Source organism: Homo sapiens, chromosome 6, assembly GCF_000001405.40.
Source record: "Homo sapiens chromosome 6, GRCh38.p14 Primary Assembly".
NCBI lineage: Eukaryota > Metazoa > Chordata > Mammalia > Primates > Hominidae > Homo > Homo sapiens.
This window is the reverse complement of record NC_000006.12, coordinates 149,672,443-149,690,169: the sequence shown is the minus strand read 5'-3', so window position 1 is coordinate 149,690,169 and position 17,727 is coordinate 149,672,443. Positions and strand designations below refer to the sequence as shown.

At 41.2% G+C, this 17,727-nt stretch overlaps 1 protein-coding gene across 18 annotated transcripts in view; it reads left to right on the top strand.

Moving 5' to 3' along the window:
• LATS1 (large tumor suppressor kinase 1) overlaps positions 1-17,727 on the top strand; it is a 59,949-nt gene that overhangs the window by 27,932 nt on the left and 14,290 nt on the right. For 14 of the 18 annotated variants that reach the window (NR_073033.2, NM_001350392.2, NM_004690.4 and 11 more), the window contains 4 exons: positions 5,578-7,091; positions 9,713-10,295; positions 13,433-13,615; positions 13,804-13,910. Coding sequence is in view for 16 of the 18 variants with exons in the window: in NM_004690.4 (NP_004681.1) it covers positions 5,578-7,091; positions 9,713-10,295; positions 13,433-13,615; positions 13,804-13,910 (2,387 nt within the window). In the remaining 2 variants the exon portion in view is untranslated. Of the gene's footprint in view, positions 1-5,577; positions 7,257-8,646; positions 8,710-9,712; positions 10,304-11,424; positions 11,489-13,432; positions 13,616-13,803; positions 13,911-17,727 lie in introns of those variants that run through there. The other 4 variants (XM_006715603.4, XR_007059386.1, XM_047419522.1 and 1 more) reach the window with 4 other exon arrangements.

Sequence of the window (17,727 nt, the reverse complement as noted above, 5' to 3'; positions counted from 1 at the left end):
ATCATTGTATTTAACAGACGTAAGTTTATTCTGTCAAATTTCTATAAATGTTTCTCAATCCTCACTCTCCATTTCCATACTTAATCTCATGTCAGTTTGTAATATATCTTATGTCAGTTTGTGGACCAGCACCAGATAACACTTTGAGGTAGAGCTCTATATATGGGAGTGGAAGGAGAGTCTTATTTTTTTTTTTTTAAGTAAAGACTTAAACATGTTTAAAAGATAATTGGAAGACTCCAGTTAAGAGGATGAAATTAAATATTCAAGAGATACTTGAGGATCAAGTAAGCTTCCTGAGAAACTGGGAGGAATAGGATCCAAAGCATAGCATGAGGGACTATTAGCCTTAGATAGAGGAACAGTCATTTTTCTCTAACAGCAGCAGACGGGCCTAGGTTATGTAAGGAAGCTAAGGGAGTACTTTCTGATGCCTGCTGTTTTCTCTGAAATAGAAAACCAAGTCATTTTCTAAGAGTGATGAGTGAGGACTAGAGCAGGCAGTTTGAGGAGACTGAGGACTGGCAATAGTGGAGACTATAGAAAGAGTTTCCTGGTGGTGCTGAGGCCATTGAAGGATGCTGATCTTGAATTATAGTAAAATCAGTCTGCCCACTGCATCACTTTTTCTTTTAAGTTAAAAACAACAACAAAAAAAGATAGCTGGAATTATCCCTGACTGGAGTTTCACTAAACAAGTACAAAATAAGATCGATAATATTGCTAAAAGGGTAATTTTTTTTTTTTTTTTGAGACAGGCATGAGCCACCGTGCCCAGCCTGAAAGGATAATTTAAATCCTTAATCAGAGCGTACTCCTCCTCTACCTTTATCGGCTTCTTATTCTTCCAAATTCCTTGTCCATGGCCTGGCTACCTCTTAGATCCCATCCAATACCACTTTCCCCCTTCATTTACTGTTCTACAGCCGTACTGGGTTTATTTTGTTCTTGGAAAATACCAAGCTCCCACCTCAGGACCTTTATGCAGTCTTTTTTTTTTTTGAGACAAAGTTTTGCTCTGTCGCCCAGACTGGAGTGCAGTGGCGCTATCTCAGCTCACTGCAACCTCCGCCCCCTGAGTTCCAGTGATTCTTCTGCCTCAGCCTCCCAGGTAGCTGGGATTACAGGCATGTGCCACCATACCCAGCTAATTTTTGTATTTTTAGTAGAGACAGGGTTTCACCATGTTGGCCAGGCTGGTCTTGAACTCCTGACCTCAGGTGATCCGCCCACCTCGGCCTCCTAAAGTGCTAGGATTACAGGCTTGAGCCACCGCGCCTGGCCTGTGCTGTCTGAACTCATATATTATCCCTCAGAGGAGCCCTTATCCCTTTCTAGCCTCCTGTTACTCTCTATCATTTGATGCCATTTATGTTTCATTCACAGAGCATTTATCATACCCTGAAGTTACCTCATTTATTTATTCACCTGCTTTGTGTCTGGCTTCTCCTTCGAGAATGTAGGTTCATGGGCCACGGATGTTCTGTTGTTTACCAATGTCATTGGATTGCTTAGAGCAGTGCCTGGCATATAGTTGATGCACAATAAATATTTAATGAACGGCCCGGGTGCAGTGGCTCACGCCTGTAATCCCAGCACTTTGGGAGGCCGAGGTGGGCGGGTCACGACGTCAGGAATTCAAGACCAGCCTGGCCAGCATAGTGAAACCCCATCTCTACTAAAAATACAAAAAATTAGCCAGGCGTGGTGGTGGGCGCCTGTAATCCCAGCTACTTGGGAGGCTGAGGCAGGAGAATCATTTAAACCCGGGAGGCAGAGGTTGCGGTGAGCTGAGATTGCGCCATTGCATTCCAGCCTAGGTGACAAAGCGAAGACTCCATGTCAAAAAACAAACAAACAAACAAAAAACCCAAATATTTAATGAATGAATAAAAAGGAGGTGATCTCAGAGAAAAAGAATAGAGAGGGAAGAACAAAGTGATAGACCATGGATTTAAGTTGGATAAAATGTGTCATAAAGAAAGAGGAAGGCCAGGCTAGGCAAGGTGGCTCATGCCTGGAATCCCAGCACTTTGGGAGGCCAAGACGGGCAGATCATGAGGTCAGGAGATCGAGACCATCCTGGCTAACACGGTGAAACCCTGTCTCTACTAAAAATACAAAAACCTTAGCTGGGCGTGGTGGTGGGCGCCTGTAGTCCTAGCTACTCAGGAGGCTGAGGCAGGAGAATGGCGTGAACCCGGGAGGCGGAGCTTGCAGTGAGCCGAGATCGCACCACTGCACTCCCAGCCTGGGCGACAGAGCGAGACTCCGCCTCAAAAAAAAAAAAAAAAAAGAGGAGGGTCAAGTACGGTGGCTCACGCCTGTAATCCCAGCACTTTGGAGGCCAAGGTGGGAGGATTGCTTGAAGCCAGGAGTTCGAGACCAGCCTGGGTATATTAGGGAGACCCCGTCTCTACAAAAAGTTTTAAAAATAGGCTAGGCTTAGTGTCTCCTGCCTATAATCCTAGCATTTTGGGAGGCTGAGGAAGGAGGATCACTTGAGCCCAGGAGTTTGAGACCAGCCTGGACAACTTAGATACCATCTCTACAATAATAAATAAATAAAATAATTAGCTGGGCATGGTGATGCATGCCTGTAATCCCAACTACTTGGAAGGCTGAGGTGGGAGGATTGCTTGAGCCCAGGGGTTCAAGGCTGCAGTGATTCATGATCATGCCACTGCCCTCCAGCCTGGGTGACATCAAGACTGTCTCAAAAGAATAAAAATAAGAAAAAGGAGGACTGATAAAGTAGGGGATTAACCTTGGAGATGTTGGCTGGATGCGGTAGCTCATGCCTGTAATCCCAACACTTTGGGATGCTGAGGTGGGCGGATCACCTGAGGTCAGGAGTTCAAGACCAGCCTGACCAACATGGTGAAACCCCATTTCTACTGAAAATACAAAAATTAGCTGGGTGTGGTGGCACCTGCCTGTAATCCCAGCTACACAGGGGGCTGAGGCAGGAGAATCGCCTAAACCCAGGAGGCAGAGGTTTCGCTGAGCCGAGATCATGCCACCGCGCTCCAGCCTGGGCGACAGAGCAAGTCTCTGTCTCAAAAAAAAAAAAATAAAAATCTTGGAGATCTTGGTGAGGTTGCTACTTAATAAAGTTTAAAAACTTTTGCAGTAGGAGTAAACAGAAGAAGTAGTTGTGGTCTGGGAGTATAAGCGTATAAACCTTAAAGTAGTTATTCTGAAACAAGAGCAGATATGAGTAATACCAAAGTTTGAAATACAATCATGAGAATGATACTTGATGTGGAGTGGAAGAGGGGACGTCAAGAAGCTGAGATATGAGGGCAATAGATGGTTTATCCTCGTGGTTATTGAGGTTACAGGATGAAGGCAGGGCTTAGGGTAGACTGAATGCTGAAGCTGTGGCTGAATGAAATAGAGCAAATAGGCAGGAGCTCATTAGGTGAGAGGAATTAGTGTGGCCTCCCACATAGCATGAAGTTCAAAAGAGCTGGCTTTTTAAAAGGAATAATATCAACCTGTAAGAACAAATGTTAGAACCCCATCTTTAGGCCAGGTTATTTTTAAAGGAAACCTTAATTTCAAAGGGCTGAAAGGAAAGTAGTATCAGCAGAAGAAAACCAGCTTCAAGGAGGTGGCAGGAAAGCTTGGAGGAGAGGTTACTGATAAGGCACATTTGCTGGCTGTGGAGCCGAGTGGATCCGGAGGGCATGGTGGAAAGGTTCGGGAAGTGGAAGAACATGGAGAGCTCTGTGGGAGGCGCAGAACAACAGGGGTGACTGTATACTCTAAAAGCTGAATGAGTGACATGGTGTATTTGGCCTCAGCTGGCCTCTGAGGAAAGTGAGAAAGAGCCTGATGGCCAGAGGACTTGTCCAGTTTATCCGGAATGATAATGTTCCCCAAACATTATTTACTCACTTGCTTTTCGTCTGGCTCCTGCTTCGAGAATGTAGACCCAAAATGCTGTCCAGCCTAGATGAAAGGGAGTGTTAAACTGAACATTATGAACATTTACCACATTTTACCACTTTTTTTCTCAGATGTATTGTTAGATATATTTTTGCCCAGGATGATGTTGACCTTTCAAATTTATTAGTATTCTTTTTTGTTTTGTTTTTAATGGTAATGAGTGTTTGTATTTAGATCTCTACTTTTGTCATGCCTGGGAAGACATTCGCAAGAGGTACCCCAATACTATTGAATGGTCTTTTGTTTTTTTCTAGTGCTTACATGATTTCATCTTTAATATTTAAACCTTTAGTCTTTCTAGAATGTATATATGTATTGTCTTTATACCAGTGTATCTTGTATATTTTTCCTAAGTGGCTGGACTATTCTATTTTAAATACTTCTCTTTTTTTGGTATTGTATTTTTTTTTTTGCTTGTTTTATTGATTTGGAAATTCCGTTAAAGACAGTTTCTGTAAAATCTATACTTTATTTAATATTCAGCTAATTATAGCCTACTATCTTTTTCTGTTTTAAAAACCATATTAAAAGGCCAGGTGCAGTGGCTCACACCTGTAATCCCAGCACTTTGGAAGGCTTAGGAGGGCAGATCACTTGAGGTCGGGAGTTTAAGACCAGCCTCGCTAACATGGCGAAACCCCGTCTCTACTAAAAATACAAAAGTTAGCTGGGCGTGGTGGCGTGCGCCTGTAGTCCCAGCTACTCAGGAGGCTGAGGAAGGAGAATTACTTGAACCCGGGAGACGGAGGTTGCAGTGAGTCTGTGCCACTGCACTCCAGCCTGGGTGACAGAGTGAGACTTTGTCTCAATTTAAAAATATAGATATATATTAAAATATATTTAAAATCAGTAGAGCTATGAAAATTACAAATAGATACGCCCTTTGGCCTAATAATGCTACCTCTAATAATTTATCTACAAATATACATGCATATATATGAAATTATATCTCTTCAAAAATATATATATATTTTTTTTGAGATGGAGTCTTGCACTGTCACCCAGGCTGGAGTGCAGTGGCACGATCTCAGTTCACTGCAGCGTTGGCCTTCTTGGTTCATGCAATTCTCCTGCCTCAGCCTCCCGAGTGGCTGGGACTACAGGTGCACACCACCACGCCTGGCTAATTTTTTTGTATTTTTAGTAGAAATGGAGTTTCACCATGTTGGCCAGGCTGGTCTCGAACTCCTGGCCTCAAGTGATCTGCCTACCTCAGCCTCCCAAAGTGCTGGGATTACAGGCGTGAGCCACCACGCCTGGTCAAAAATAAATAAAATTCTAAAAGGTAAAAGGAAACCACTTAGTGAAATTTTATTTTTATAACTCTTTTTTTTCTTTTTTTGCTAAATTGAGCCAAATAACATGTATTATTACCTCACATATCATTTTTTTGTAGTGAGAATACTTCAAATTTACTCTCGGCAATTTTCAGGAGTACAATACGTTGTTATTAACTACAGTCACCATTTTGTACAAGAGATCACTTGAACTTTTTTATATTTTTATAATTCTTGAAAGAGAATTGAGTATCATTTGTAATATCAGAATTGCAAGCTAAGGTTTTCAAAAATTAGAGGTTAAAAACATGATTCTTTTTTCTCTTTATCTCTCTTATAACCATAGGGAATGTGCAGCAATCAGTTAACCGCAAACAGAGCTGGAAAGGTTCTAAAGAATCCTTAGTTCCTCAGAGGCATGGCCCGCCACTAGGAGAAAGTGTGGCCTATCATTCTGAGAGTCCCAACTCACAGACAGATGTAGGAAGACCTTTGTCTGGATCTGGTATATCAGCATTTGTTCAAGCTCACCCTAGCAACGGACAGAGAGTGAACCCCCCACCACCACCTCAAGTAAGGAGTGTTACTCCTCCACCACCTCCAAGAGGCCAGACTCCCCCTCCAAGAGGTACAACTCCACCTCCCCCTTCATGGGAACCAAACTCTCAAACAAAGCGCTATTCTGGAAACATGGAATACGTAATCTCCCGAATCTCTCCTGTCCCACCTGGGGCATGGCAAGAGGGCTATCCTCCACCACCTCTCAACACTTCCCCCATGAATCCTCCTAATCAAGGACAGAGAGGCATTAGTTCTGTTCCTGTTGGCAGACAACCAATCATCATGCAGAGTTCTAGCAAATTTAACTTTCCATCAGGGAGACCTGGAATGCAGAATGGTACTGGACAAACTGATTTCATGATACACCAAAATGTTGTCCCTGCTGGCACTGTGAATCGGCAGCCACCACCTCCATATCCTCTGACAGCAGCTAATGGACAAAGCCCTTCTGCTTTACAAACAGGGGGATCTGCTGCTCCTTCGTCATATACAAATGGAAGTATTCCTCAGTCTATGATGGTGCCAAACAGAAATAGTCATAACATGGAACTATATAACATTAGTGTACCTGGACTGCAAACAAATTGGCCTCAGTCATCTTCTGCTCCAGCCCAGTCATCCCCGAGCAGTGGGCATGAAATCCCTACATGGCAACCTAACATACCAGTGAGGTCAAATTCTTTTAATAACCCATTAGGAAATAGAGCAAGTCACTCTGCTAATTCTCAGCCTTCTGCTACAACAGTCACTGCAATTACACCAGCTCCTATTCAACAGCCTGTGAAAAGTATGCGTGTATTAAAACCAGAGCTACAGACTGCTTTAGCACCTACACACCCTTCTTGGATACCACAGCCAATTCAAACTGTTCAACCCAGTCCTTTTCCTGAGGGAACCGCTTCAAATGTGACTGTGATGCCACCTGTTGCTGAAGCTCCAAACTATCAAGGACCACCACCACCCTACCCAAAACATCTGCTGCACCAAAACCCATCTGTTCCTCCATACGAGTCAATCAGTAAGCCTAGCAAAGAGGATCAGCCAAGCTTGCCCAAGGAAGATGAGAGTGAAAAGAGTTATGAAAATGTTGATAGTGGGGATAAAGAAAAGAAACAGATTACAACTTCACCTATTACTGTTAGGAAAAACAAGAAAGATGAAGAGCGAAGGGAATCTCGTATTCAAAGTTATTCTCCTCAAGCATTTAAATTCTTTATGGAGCAACATGTAGAAAATGTACTCAAATCTCATCAGCAGCGTCTACATCGTAAAAAACAATTAGAGAATGAAATGATGCGGGTAAAACCTTTTAAAATGTCCATTTTTATACTTAATCATCTGTTTGCTTGGTGTTTATTTTAAAATATTGTGTCCAGTATTTTTCTTTCTTTTTATAGCTAAATAAAATATATTATCAGTTATGGAATTTAAAAGTGAATAAATATTAAAGTACTTTTGATTGTAGCATTTTATTTTAGTATTTCAATATTTATTCAGAATTTCCTATAATAAAATCTCGTGTAAATTAAGAAAAATATAATTTGCGGTATACAGTTTAGGTGTACATAATACCTTTATATGAAAATTGGAGGAAGGGTTGTCTTCTAGGCTTCATACAATATCTTACAACATTTAAAAATAAACTAGAAATATGTGGGTCTCAGGCTGGGGCATGGGGGCTCACGCCTGTAATCAAAGCACTTTGGAAGGCTGAGGCAGGCAGATCATGAGGTCAGGAGATCGAGACCATCCTGCCTAACACAGTGAAACCCCGTCTCTACTAAAAATACCAAAAAAAATTAGCTGGGCATGGTGGCGGGCGCCTGTAGTCCCAGCTACTTGGAAGGCTGAGGCAGGAGAATGGCGTGAACCCCGGAGGCGGAGGTTGCAGTGAGCCGAGATCGCGCCACTGCACTCCAGTGTGGGCGACAGTGAGACTCCGTCTCAAAAAAAAAAAAAAAAGAAAAAAGAAATACGTGGGTCTCATCTCTTGATATACTTATAAAACATTTACTTTTAGAAAATTTGGAGTTTATAGGTTTATTCATCACATATATCTTATTAAAAAGTGTAAAGAAGTTTCCTTCAGTTATATCTCCCTTCTCATTTCATTTTTATAATATACTGGAGAAAAATGTGCTAAAATTATTTAGTGAAACTATACTAAAAGGGAGATCAGAGTAAGTAAACACACTTTAATCTGTGTTGTCATTCCACATAGATCTCTAGATATTAAGGTAGTACGATCATCATTTTTTTTTTTTTTTGAGACGACATCTCACTCTGTCGCCAGGCTGGAGTGCAGTGGCGCCATCTCAGCTCACTGCAACCTCCGCCTCCCGGGTTCAAGCAGTTCTCCTGCCTCAGCCTCCCCACTAGCTGGGACTACAAGCGCCCGTCAGCACGCTGAGCTAATTTTTTATTTTTAGTAGAGGCGGGGTTTCACCATGTTGGCCAGGCCGGTCTTGATCTCTTGACGCCATGACCCACCCGCGTCTGCCTCCCAAAGCACTGGGATTACAGGCATGAGCCACTGTGCCTGGCCATTATTGTTTTTATCATATGCTTAGAGTTCAAAGATTTGACTCCTAATCTTACATCTGTCACTCACAATCCAAGAGGCTTAACCTTGTGATTAAACACCTTTATATACTTGAACCATTCTTTTAAAATGATTTTAATAAATCTGATTTTACAGTATTGTTATTTCTATTTTATATTTTATTAAATGAGAAATACCATAATAATTTCTATGACTTATCCATATTTTAATTCTTAGGATTTCTTACTAAAGTCTGCCTATGTGTATTTTCTTAGTTTATTTTTCCTTTTTCCTCTTCACTTTCACTAATAGCTGATTTAAACTTTTATGGTGTTGGAAGCTTTGCTGACTTCTGTAGTCTCCATTACTGTGTAGGCAAGTAAGATTTTAAGAGAAACAGTTCTGAACTAAGTCTGGCATGCCATCCTTCTTAAAAGATTTTGCATGCAAATGTGAATCCTAACAGAAGCATGTGGTTGTTCTATTTTAGTCTTGTATTTCTAGAATTAGACCCCACTTTTCCAACTGGATTTCTTTTCTATTTAAACCCTTTAATTAATTCTTTATTAATTAGCCAAAATGTTTCTCCCTTCTAAATCCAGGCATTCCATATCTATAATACTTAGAAGTTAGTTTTTGTTTTTAATCTATTTTTTGATATTTTCATGAGTCACACTGAAGTATTCCTAAGTATCCAAAGGATATCTTGTAAACAACCAGGTTGTTCTTTTCGAAGTAGGAGAAACCCTTTGCAATTTGTGTTAGTGGTAGACTGTGAGTCGCACCTTTACTCTGATGCCCTGAAAAATAGAAAAGGAAAGATTATTAATGACTGTTGTATATTTATTGAGAATAGGGAAAGGATTGGTGGGTTAGAAAAGGCATTGTTTTGTTGTTCTTTGGTACATTAATTTTTTAGAATAAATGAGCCTGGAGTGGAAGAATTTTTTTTCATGAAAGACAAAATAGGAAGAATATTTGAGGCCTAGGCATTCCACCAAGAGAAGCATATACAGAGAGATAAATGAATATGCATGTTAACATGTTAACAGATGTTTGTTGCACATTGAGAACCTTTTTTTTTTTTTTTTTCGGAGTGCATTAGAGAAGAGTAGAAAGCTTACTCATCTGGTACCCTCTTCTTGCACTCCACAGCTGAATTTGCATAGGTACTCACTTTGAATATCCTTTTAACTACCCCTTAGGCTGCACTTTTGATCATTAATTTCCTTTGAAATGTTTTCTAGATTTCTAACATGCTTTATTAAAAATTATGCATTTAACCTTTAAATATATGCCTGAATTTTTCCCAAGCTATTTCTTAATATTCAATATTGAAGAAGATAATTCTTATTTAACATCTAGTTTATTTGCCTAGGTTGGATTATCTCAAGATGCCCAGGATCAAATGAGAAAGATGCTTTGCCAAAAAGAATCTAATTACATCCGTCTTAAAAGGGCTAAAATGGACAAGTCTATGTTTGTGAAGATAAAGACACTAGGAATAGGAGCATTTGGTGAAGTCTGTCTAGCAAGAAAAGTAGATACTAAGGCTTTGTATGCAACAAAAACTCTTCGAAAGAAAGATGTTCTTCTTCGAAATCAAGTCGCTCATGTTAAGGCTGAGAGAGATATCCTGGCTGAAGCTGACAATGAATGGGTAGTTCGTCTATATTATTCATTCCAAGATAAGGACAATTTATACTTTGTAATGGACTACATTCCTGGGGGTGATATGATGAGCCTATTAATTAGAATGGGCATCTTTCCAGAAAGTCTGGCACGATTCTACATAGCAGAACTTACCTGTGCAGTTGAAAGTGTTCATAAAATGGGTTTTATTCATAGAGATATTAAACCTGATAATATTTTGATTGATCGTGATGGTCATATTAAATTGACTGACTTTGGCCTCTGCACTGGCTTCAGATGGACACACGATTCTAAGTACTATCAGAGTGGTAAGTAAACTCATAAAATTTATTTTAGTTTGTTCATAATAATGTAATTTATTGATGTAGTAAAATATAAGATGGTATCATCACTGGATGAGAGCCAGAAGATGTGGGTCAGGTCTTGATTCTGTTGGATAAACTTGGGTGACTCCATTAGGCACTTAGACTTATGAAATGAAAGAATGTGCTAGACTTGATTGTTTAGACTTATGAAATGAAAGAATGTGCTAGACTTGATTGTTTCTAAATATTATTAACATTTTTGAGTCACACCTTTTACATTTTATTTGAAAATATGCCAGACAAACAATTTTTTTTTTTTTTTTTTTTTGATGGAGTCTCGCTCTGTCGCCCAGGCTGGAGTGCAGTGGCACCATCTTGGCTCACTGCAATATCCCCCTCCTGGGTTCAAGTGATTCTCCTGCCTCAGCCTCCCGAGTAGCTGGGATTATAAGCACCTGCCAGTACGCCCGGCTAATTTTTGTATTTTTAATAGAGATGGGGTTTCACCATGTTGGCCAGGCTGATCTCGAACTCCTGACCTCAGGTGATCCACCTGTCTCAGCCACCCAAAGTGCTGAGATTATAGGTGTGAGCCCCCTGCGCCTGGCCAAAAACATTTTTAAAATAATTTTTTAATGAATCCTCATATCCAACATTCAGTTAAAGAACTAGATTATCAGTACTTTAGAAGCCCTTAAACAATCACTTCCCCTTTTCTCCTCCACAAAGATAATTATTATTTCAGAACTTTATAATCGGTTCTTTACTTTTATCGATCCTTTTATCACAAATGTGTATATCTTTAAATAATATATTATTTCATTTTGCCTACTCTTTAACCTTTATTTAAATATAATCTATATATATTCTTTGTGTTGACTTGTTTGAGGTTCCTCCATGTTATTGCTTGTAACATTTATTTTCACTACTATTTAGGATTTCATTACATGACTGTTACACAACTTATATAACCCTAAACACTTTATGATCCTTGATCCTATTTTATCCTCACAATGTCACTGTGAGGCAGGATGAAGAAACTGAGACCTAGTTAGATGAAGTAACTTGCCCAAGGTCAGACAGAAATCAAGTGTAAGGGCTAGGCTTTGAACCCAGGTTTGTCTGATTTCAGGGCCCATGTTATTTCTACTACACCACACTGCCTCACCAAGATCCCTCCAAGCGCTAATGGAAGTGTAAGTCAATCTAACATTTGTTAAATACTATGTACTAGGTGCTTAACCATATATTCTAATATGCTCGCAACAATTCTCTGAGGTAAGTATTATTAGCCTCCTGTGCTTCTGTGAACACAAGTAGATTGACATTAAAATGGGTAGAACTGAGACAATTGAACCTACTTTAATGTTCGACATAGTGGAATTTAGTGTCTTCCCAGATTCGACTGAATTATTACCTGGAAAGCTTCTTAAAAATATGATTCCTAGGCTCTATTCCCATCTTTTGATCAAAAATCTTCACTGGGGCATAGAAATCTTTTTGTTGTTTTTTGTTTGTTTGTTTGTTTGTTTTTGAGACGGAGTCTCGCTCTGTTGCCCAGGCTGGAGTGCAGTGGCGCAATCTCGGCTCACTGCTAGCTCTGCCTCCCAGGTTCACGCCATTCTCTTGCCTCAGCTTCCCGAGTAGTTGGGACTACAGCCGCCGGCAACCACGCCCGGCTATTTTTTTTTTTTTTTTTTTTTTTTTTTTTTTGGATTTTTAGTAGAGACCAGGTTTCACCGTGTTAGCCAGGACGGTCTCAATCTTCTGACCTCATGATTTGCCTGCCTCTGCCTCCCAAAGTGGCTGGGATTACAGGCGTGAGCGACCACGCCCAGCCTGTTTGTTTTTTTTTTTTTGAGACGGAGTTTTGGTCTGTTGCCAGGCTGGAGTGCAGTGGCGCGATCTCGGCCCACTGCAACCTCCATCTCCTGGGCTCAAGCGATTCTCCTGCTTCAGCCTCCCAAGTAGCTGGAATTACAAGTGTGCTCCACCACACCCAGCTAATTTTTGTATTTTTAGTAGAGATGGGGTTTCACCATGTTGGCCAGGATGGTCTCAATCTCTTGACCTCATGATCCACCCTCCCTGGCCTCCCAAAGGGAAATCATATTTTAATCAAACATCCCAGATAAATATTACAGTTAGGTTAATTTCTTATATTCTAGGTGACTTCATGCCATCTATATGTCAATGAATTCCAAATCTCTCTCTCCAGAAATGGCCTTTCTCTGAAATTCGTAATTTCTCTATCCAGCTGCTTCCTGGCTATCTTCACATGGATTTCAAATAGGCCTTTCAAACTTCACATGACCCATAAAGAACTTTTTTTTTTAAGCATAAATCAGATACTGTTATCTTCTTGCTTCGAACTCTGCAATATCTTCTCACTTTACTTGAGGTAAAAGGCAGACCATTTCTATTGCTTGCAAAACCCACATGTATTCCTGCCGCATTTCTTACAGTTCTTGCCCCATTTCCTACAGTTCTCCCCTTTATCAGCTGTGCTGGTCTTCTCTCTGTTGCTGTTATTTCTGTGTGGAATACCTAATCCTGATTTATAAATGGTTGAGTCCTTCTTGTTTTTTTACGGTTTAGCTGAAGTCACCTTCTTAACTGGTCTTCCCTAGCCATTCAGTCTTATGTAGCTATCCAGTCACATTTGTTACATCACCCTGTGTTGATTCTCTGTGTAGGGTATGTCACTGTTCCTTATATGTGTAATTGTTTTGTTTCTTTTCCTACTAGAATGTAACCAGAGCTTTGTCTTATTATCACTGTCATTTATTGAATGAAAGATGGATCTAATTTGTTTGAAAGTTTGTCCAGAGTAGTAACAGGGAGTGGGCTAAATAACAAACTCTTAATCTCCCCATGACTCATATTGTTGTTATTTAACATTGCATAAATTACTAAATCTTAGGCTAATTTTTTTTAAGTGTAAAATCCTTCCTATTGACATCTCAGAAAATAGGCTCTAATTGGTAATAAACACCATCAGTGATTTGGCATACATTGTGTCTTAGTTTGTCACAAGGGAGAATGTTGTTAACCCTAAACCACGATGTCAGAAGATTAAATAGACTTCAGGTTTACTGTTGTCATTGTTGACTTTATTTACTTATTCTTTTGTTGTGCAGGTGACCATCCACGGCAAGATAGCATGGATTTCAGTAATGAATGGGGGGATCCCTCAAGCTGTCGATGTGGAGACAGACTGAAGCCATTAGAGCGGAGAGCTGCACGCCAGCACCAGCGATGTCTAGCACATTCTTTGGTTGGGACTCCCAATTATATTGCACCTGAAGTGTTGCTACGAACAGGTAAAGCACTTCTTTCATATATATTCTCAGTAGACCTTTAGACCAGCCAAAACGACACTAGAATATGCCTTATTTTTCAGGCTTATAATAAAAGTATTAATTTTAAAGTATAAATTGGTGATTTAATGTTAATTTTTATTGTATTCTGAGCATTTTTAAAGTGCTTATAAATAACTTTGTTATTTTAGGATACACACAGTTGTGTGATTGGTGGAGTGTTGGTGTTATTCTTTTTGAAATGTTGGTGGGACAACCTCCTTTCTTGGCACAAACACCATTAGAAACACAAATGAAGGTAAGGTATGGCATCTATATCAAAAGAATTCTCACAAAGTTGCTACATCATTGACTTTTATTTATTAGTACGTAGAGCATTTTAGTCTGGAGTTAAAGAATGAACTTGGGCCGGGTGCAGTGGCTCACACCCATAATGCCAGTTCTTTGGGAGGCTGAGGCAGGAGGATTGCTTGAGCCTAGGAGTTCAAGATCAGCCTGGCAACAATGTGAGACCACATCTCTACAAACAAATATTTTTTAATTTAAAAAAGGAAAAGAATGAACTTGTAAGGGTATAGGAACTCACCAGAATTGCATGCGTGAACTCCAGTCTCCATGATGCCATATCCCCATAATCTTGTATCCCCCCTCACTCATACAGCATACTCATATATCATATATCATTCTCAAAAAGGTCTTTAGGCCAGGCACGGTGGCTCATGCCTGTAATCCTACCACTTTGGGAGGTGTAGGCGGGTGGATCACCTGAGGTCAGGAGTTTGAGATCAGCCTGGCCAACATGGCGAAACCCCGTCTCTACTGAAAATACAAAAATTAGCGGGGTGTGGTGGCAGGCGCCTGTAATCCCAGCTACTTGGGAAGCTGAGGCGGGAAAATCCCTTGAACTCAGAAGGCGGAGGTTGCAGTGAGCCAAGATCTTGCCATCGCACTCCACCCTGGGTGAAAGGGCGAAACTCCTCAAACAAAACAAAACAAAACAAAAAGGTCTTTAGTCCATTTTGAAGATTTAGTCCAGTTTACTCTTTGTCACCTACTGCCTCCTGGCCTTGTCTCCTTCTATGCAAACTACAAACAAATGTTTATATCCCCACTTGAAAATACCTCTGGCACTTAAATGAGAAGTTACCCACAATTTTGACCATACACTGTCTGATTTAATACTCTTTAGTGATTGTCCGTGGGTTAAAGTTGAAATTTGCCCTCTGTTCATACCGTTCCCTCTGTCTGGAATGTCCTACTTCCATCTCTCTCTTCTATAACCCTTCCTCCTTTCTGAAGTCTAATTAACTCTTGGTCATTCTCTCTTTTTTTTTTTTTTTTTGATACAGAGTCTTGCTCTGTCATCAGGCTAGAGTGCAGTGGCGTGATCTCAGTTCACTACAACTTCTGCCTCCTGGGTTCAAGCAATTCTCGTGCCTCAGCCTCCCGAGTAGCTGGGATTACAGGCATGCGCCATCATACCCAGCTAGTTTTTGTATTTTTAGTAGAGACGAGGTTTCACCGTGTTGGCCAGGATGGTCTCAATCTCCTGAACTTGTGATCTGCCCGCCTCGGCCTCCTGATCATTCTTAATTATTCTTTGAGGGCCAGACATGATGGCTCATGTCTGTAATCCCAGCACTTTATTTATTTTGAGATAAGGTCAAAACATTTCACCTAGGGTGTAATGCAGTGGCGTGATCTCCTCTCATGCAACCTCTGTCTCCTGGCTCAAATGACCTATCTCAGCCTCCTGGGTAGATGGGACCGCAGGTGCATTTTTTTTTGTATTTTTTGTAGATACAGGGTTTTGCCATGTTGCCCAGGCTGGTCTCAAACTCCTGGGCTCAAGTGATCCACCCACCTCAGCCTCCCAAAGTGCTGGGATGGGTGCAGTGGTTCACACCTGTAATCCCAACACTTTGCAAGGTCGTGGCAGACAGATCACTTGAGCCCAGGAGTTTGAGACCAGCCTGGGCAACATGGTGAAACCCCCTCTGTACAAAAAATACAAAAAACTTAGCCAGGCATGGTAATGCATATTTGTGGTCCTAGCTACCTGGGAGGCTAAGGTTGGAGGGTCACTGGAGCCTAGGAGACGTTGCAGTGAGCCATATTTGTGCCACTGCACTCCAGCCTAGGTGACAGAGTGAGATCCCATCTCAAAAAATAAAAAATTTGGCTGGGTGTGGTGGCTCACACCTATTATAATCCCAGCACTTTGGGAGGCCAAGGCAGGTGGATCACCTGAGGTCAGGAGTTTGAGACCAGCCTGGCCAACATGGTGAAACCCTGTCTCTACTAACAATACAAATATTAGCTGGGTGTGGTGGCGCGCCCCTGTAATCCCAGCTACTTGGGAGGCTGAGGCACGGGGATTGCTTGAACCCAGGAGGCAGAGGTTGCAGTGAGCTGAGATCACACCATTGCACTCCAGCCTGGGCAATAAGAGCAAAACTCTGTCTAAAAAAAACAAATTATTCTTTGAGAGTTTCCTGAGATTCCATCGTTTCTTTGATTTCCACCTTTCTTAAGCTATAACTTCTTCAGTCATTGCATTTAATATAGAAATGGTTTTACATTAGCCGGGTGTGGTGGCTCATGCCTGTAATCCCAGCACTTTGGGAGGCTGAGGCGGGTGGATCACCTGAAGTCGGGAGTTCGAGACCAGCCTGACCAACATGGTGAAACCCCGTCTCTACTAAAAATACAAAAATTAGCCGTGCATGGTGGCTGGTACCTGTAGTCCCAGCTATATGGAGGCCCTGAGGCAGGAGAACTCCTTGAACCTGGGAGGCAGAGGTTGCAGTGAGCCGAGATCGCGCCATTGCACTCCAGCCTGGGCGACAGAGTGAGACTCTATCTCAAAAAAAAAAAAAGGAAAAAAAAGAAATGGTTTTACATTTTAAAACTTCTTTTAGGATTTTTTATAGTATAGGTCTGCTGATAAGGCATTCTCTCAGGTTTGTCTCAGGTATGTCTGAAATTATCTTTATTTTGTCTTCATTTGAATATATTTGTGTGTAGGTGTATGAGAGAGAGAAAAAAAATTGTATGCTTTCTCCCTAAGGTTGAGAACAAGGCAGGAATGTCCATTCTCATCAATTCTATGTTCTGGAATCTTAGCCAGCATAATACAGCAATGAAAAGAAATAAAAGGGCTGGGCGCGGTAGCTCATGCCTGTAATCCTAGCACTTTGGTAAGCCAAGGCGGGTGGATTGCTTGAGCCAAGAATTGGAGACCAGCCTGGGCAACATGGCGCAACCGTGTCTCTACAAAAAAAATAGAAAAATTAGCCGAGCATGGCAGTGTGCACCTGTAGTCCCAGCTACTCACGAGGCTGAGGTGGGAGGATCACCTGAGCCTGGGGAGGTCAAGGCTGCAGTGAGCCATGATTATACCACTGCACTCCAGCCTGGGTAATAGAGTAAGATCCTATCTCAAAAAAAAAAAAAAAAAAGAAAAGAAAAGAAAAGGAAGAAGTAAAAAATAAAAACTTCCCCTATTCAAAAATGATATAATTTTCTATATAGAAAATCCCAGGGAATCTATAGGTGTAAAGTACAAGAATAACACATAAAATCTATCCATTTCTTCGTTGTTGTTTTTTTTGAAACAGAGTTTCACTCTTGTTGCCCAGACTGGAGTGCAATGGTGCTATCTTGGCTCACTGCAACCTCTGCCTCCTGGGTTCAAGTGAGCCTCCTGCCTCAGTCTCCTGAGTAGCTGAGACTACAGGCATGCGCCACCATCCCAGTTAATTTTGTATTTTTAGTAAAGACTGGGTTTTACCATGTTGGTCAGGCTGGTCTTGAACTCCTGACCTCAGGTGGTCCACCCACCTCGGCCTCCCAAAGTGCTGGGATTACAGGCGTGAGCCACTGCGCCCGGCCAAAATCCATCTATTTCTATATTTAAGCAATGAAAACTGGAAACTAAAATTTAAAAGCAATACCATTCACAATAGCTCCTCTGACATAAAATACTTTGTTATAAATCTAGAACATGAGCAAGATTTGTATGCAAATTGCTACTGAAAGAAATCATAGGCTGGGCATGGTGACTCACACCTGTAATCCCAGCACTTTGGGAGGCCAGGGCAGGCAGATCACCT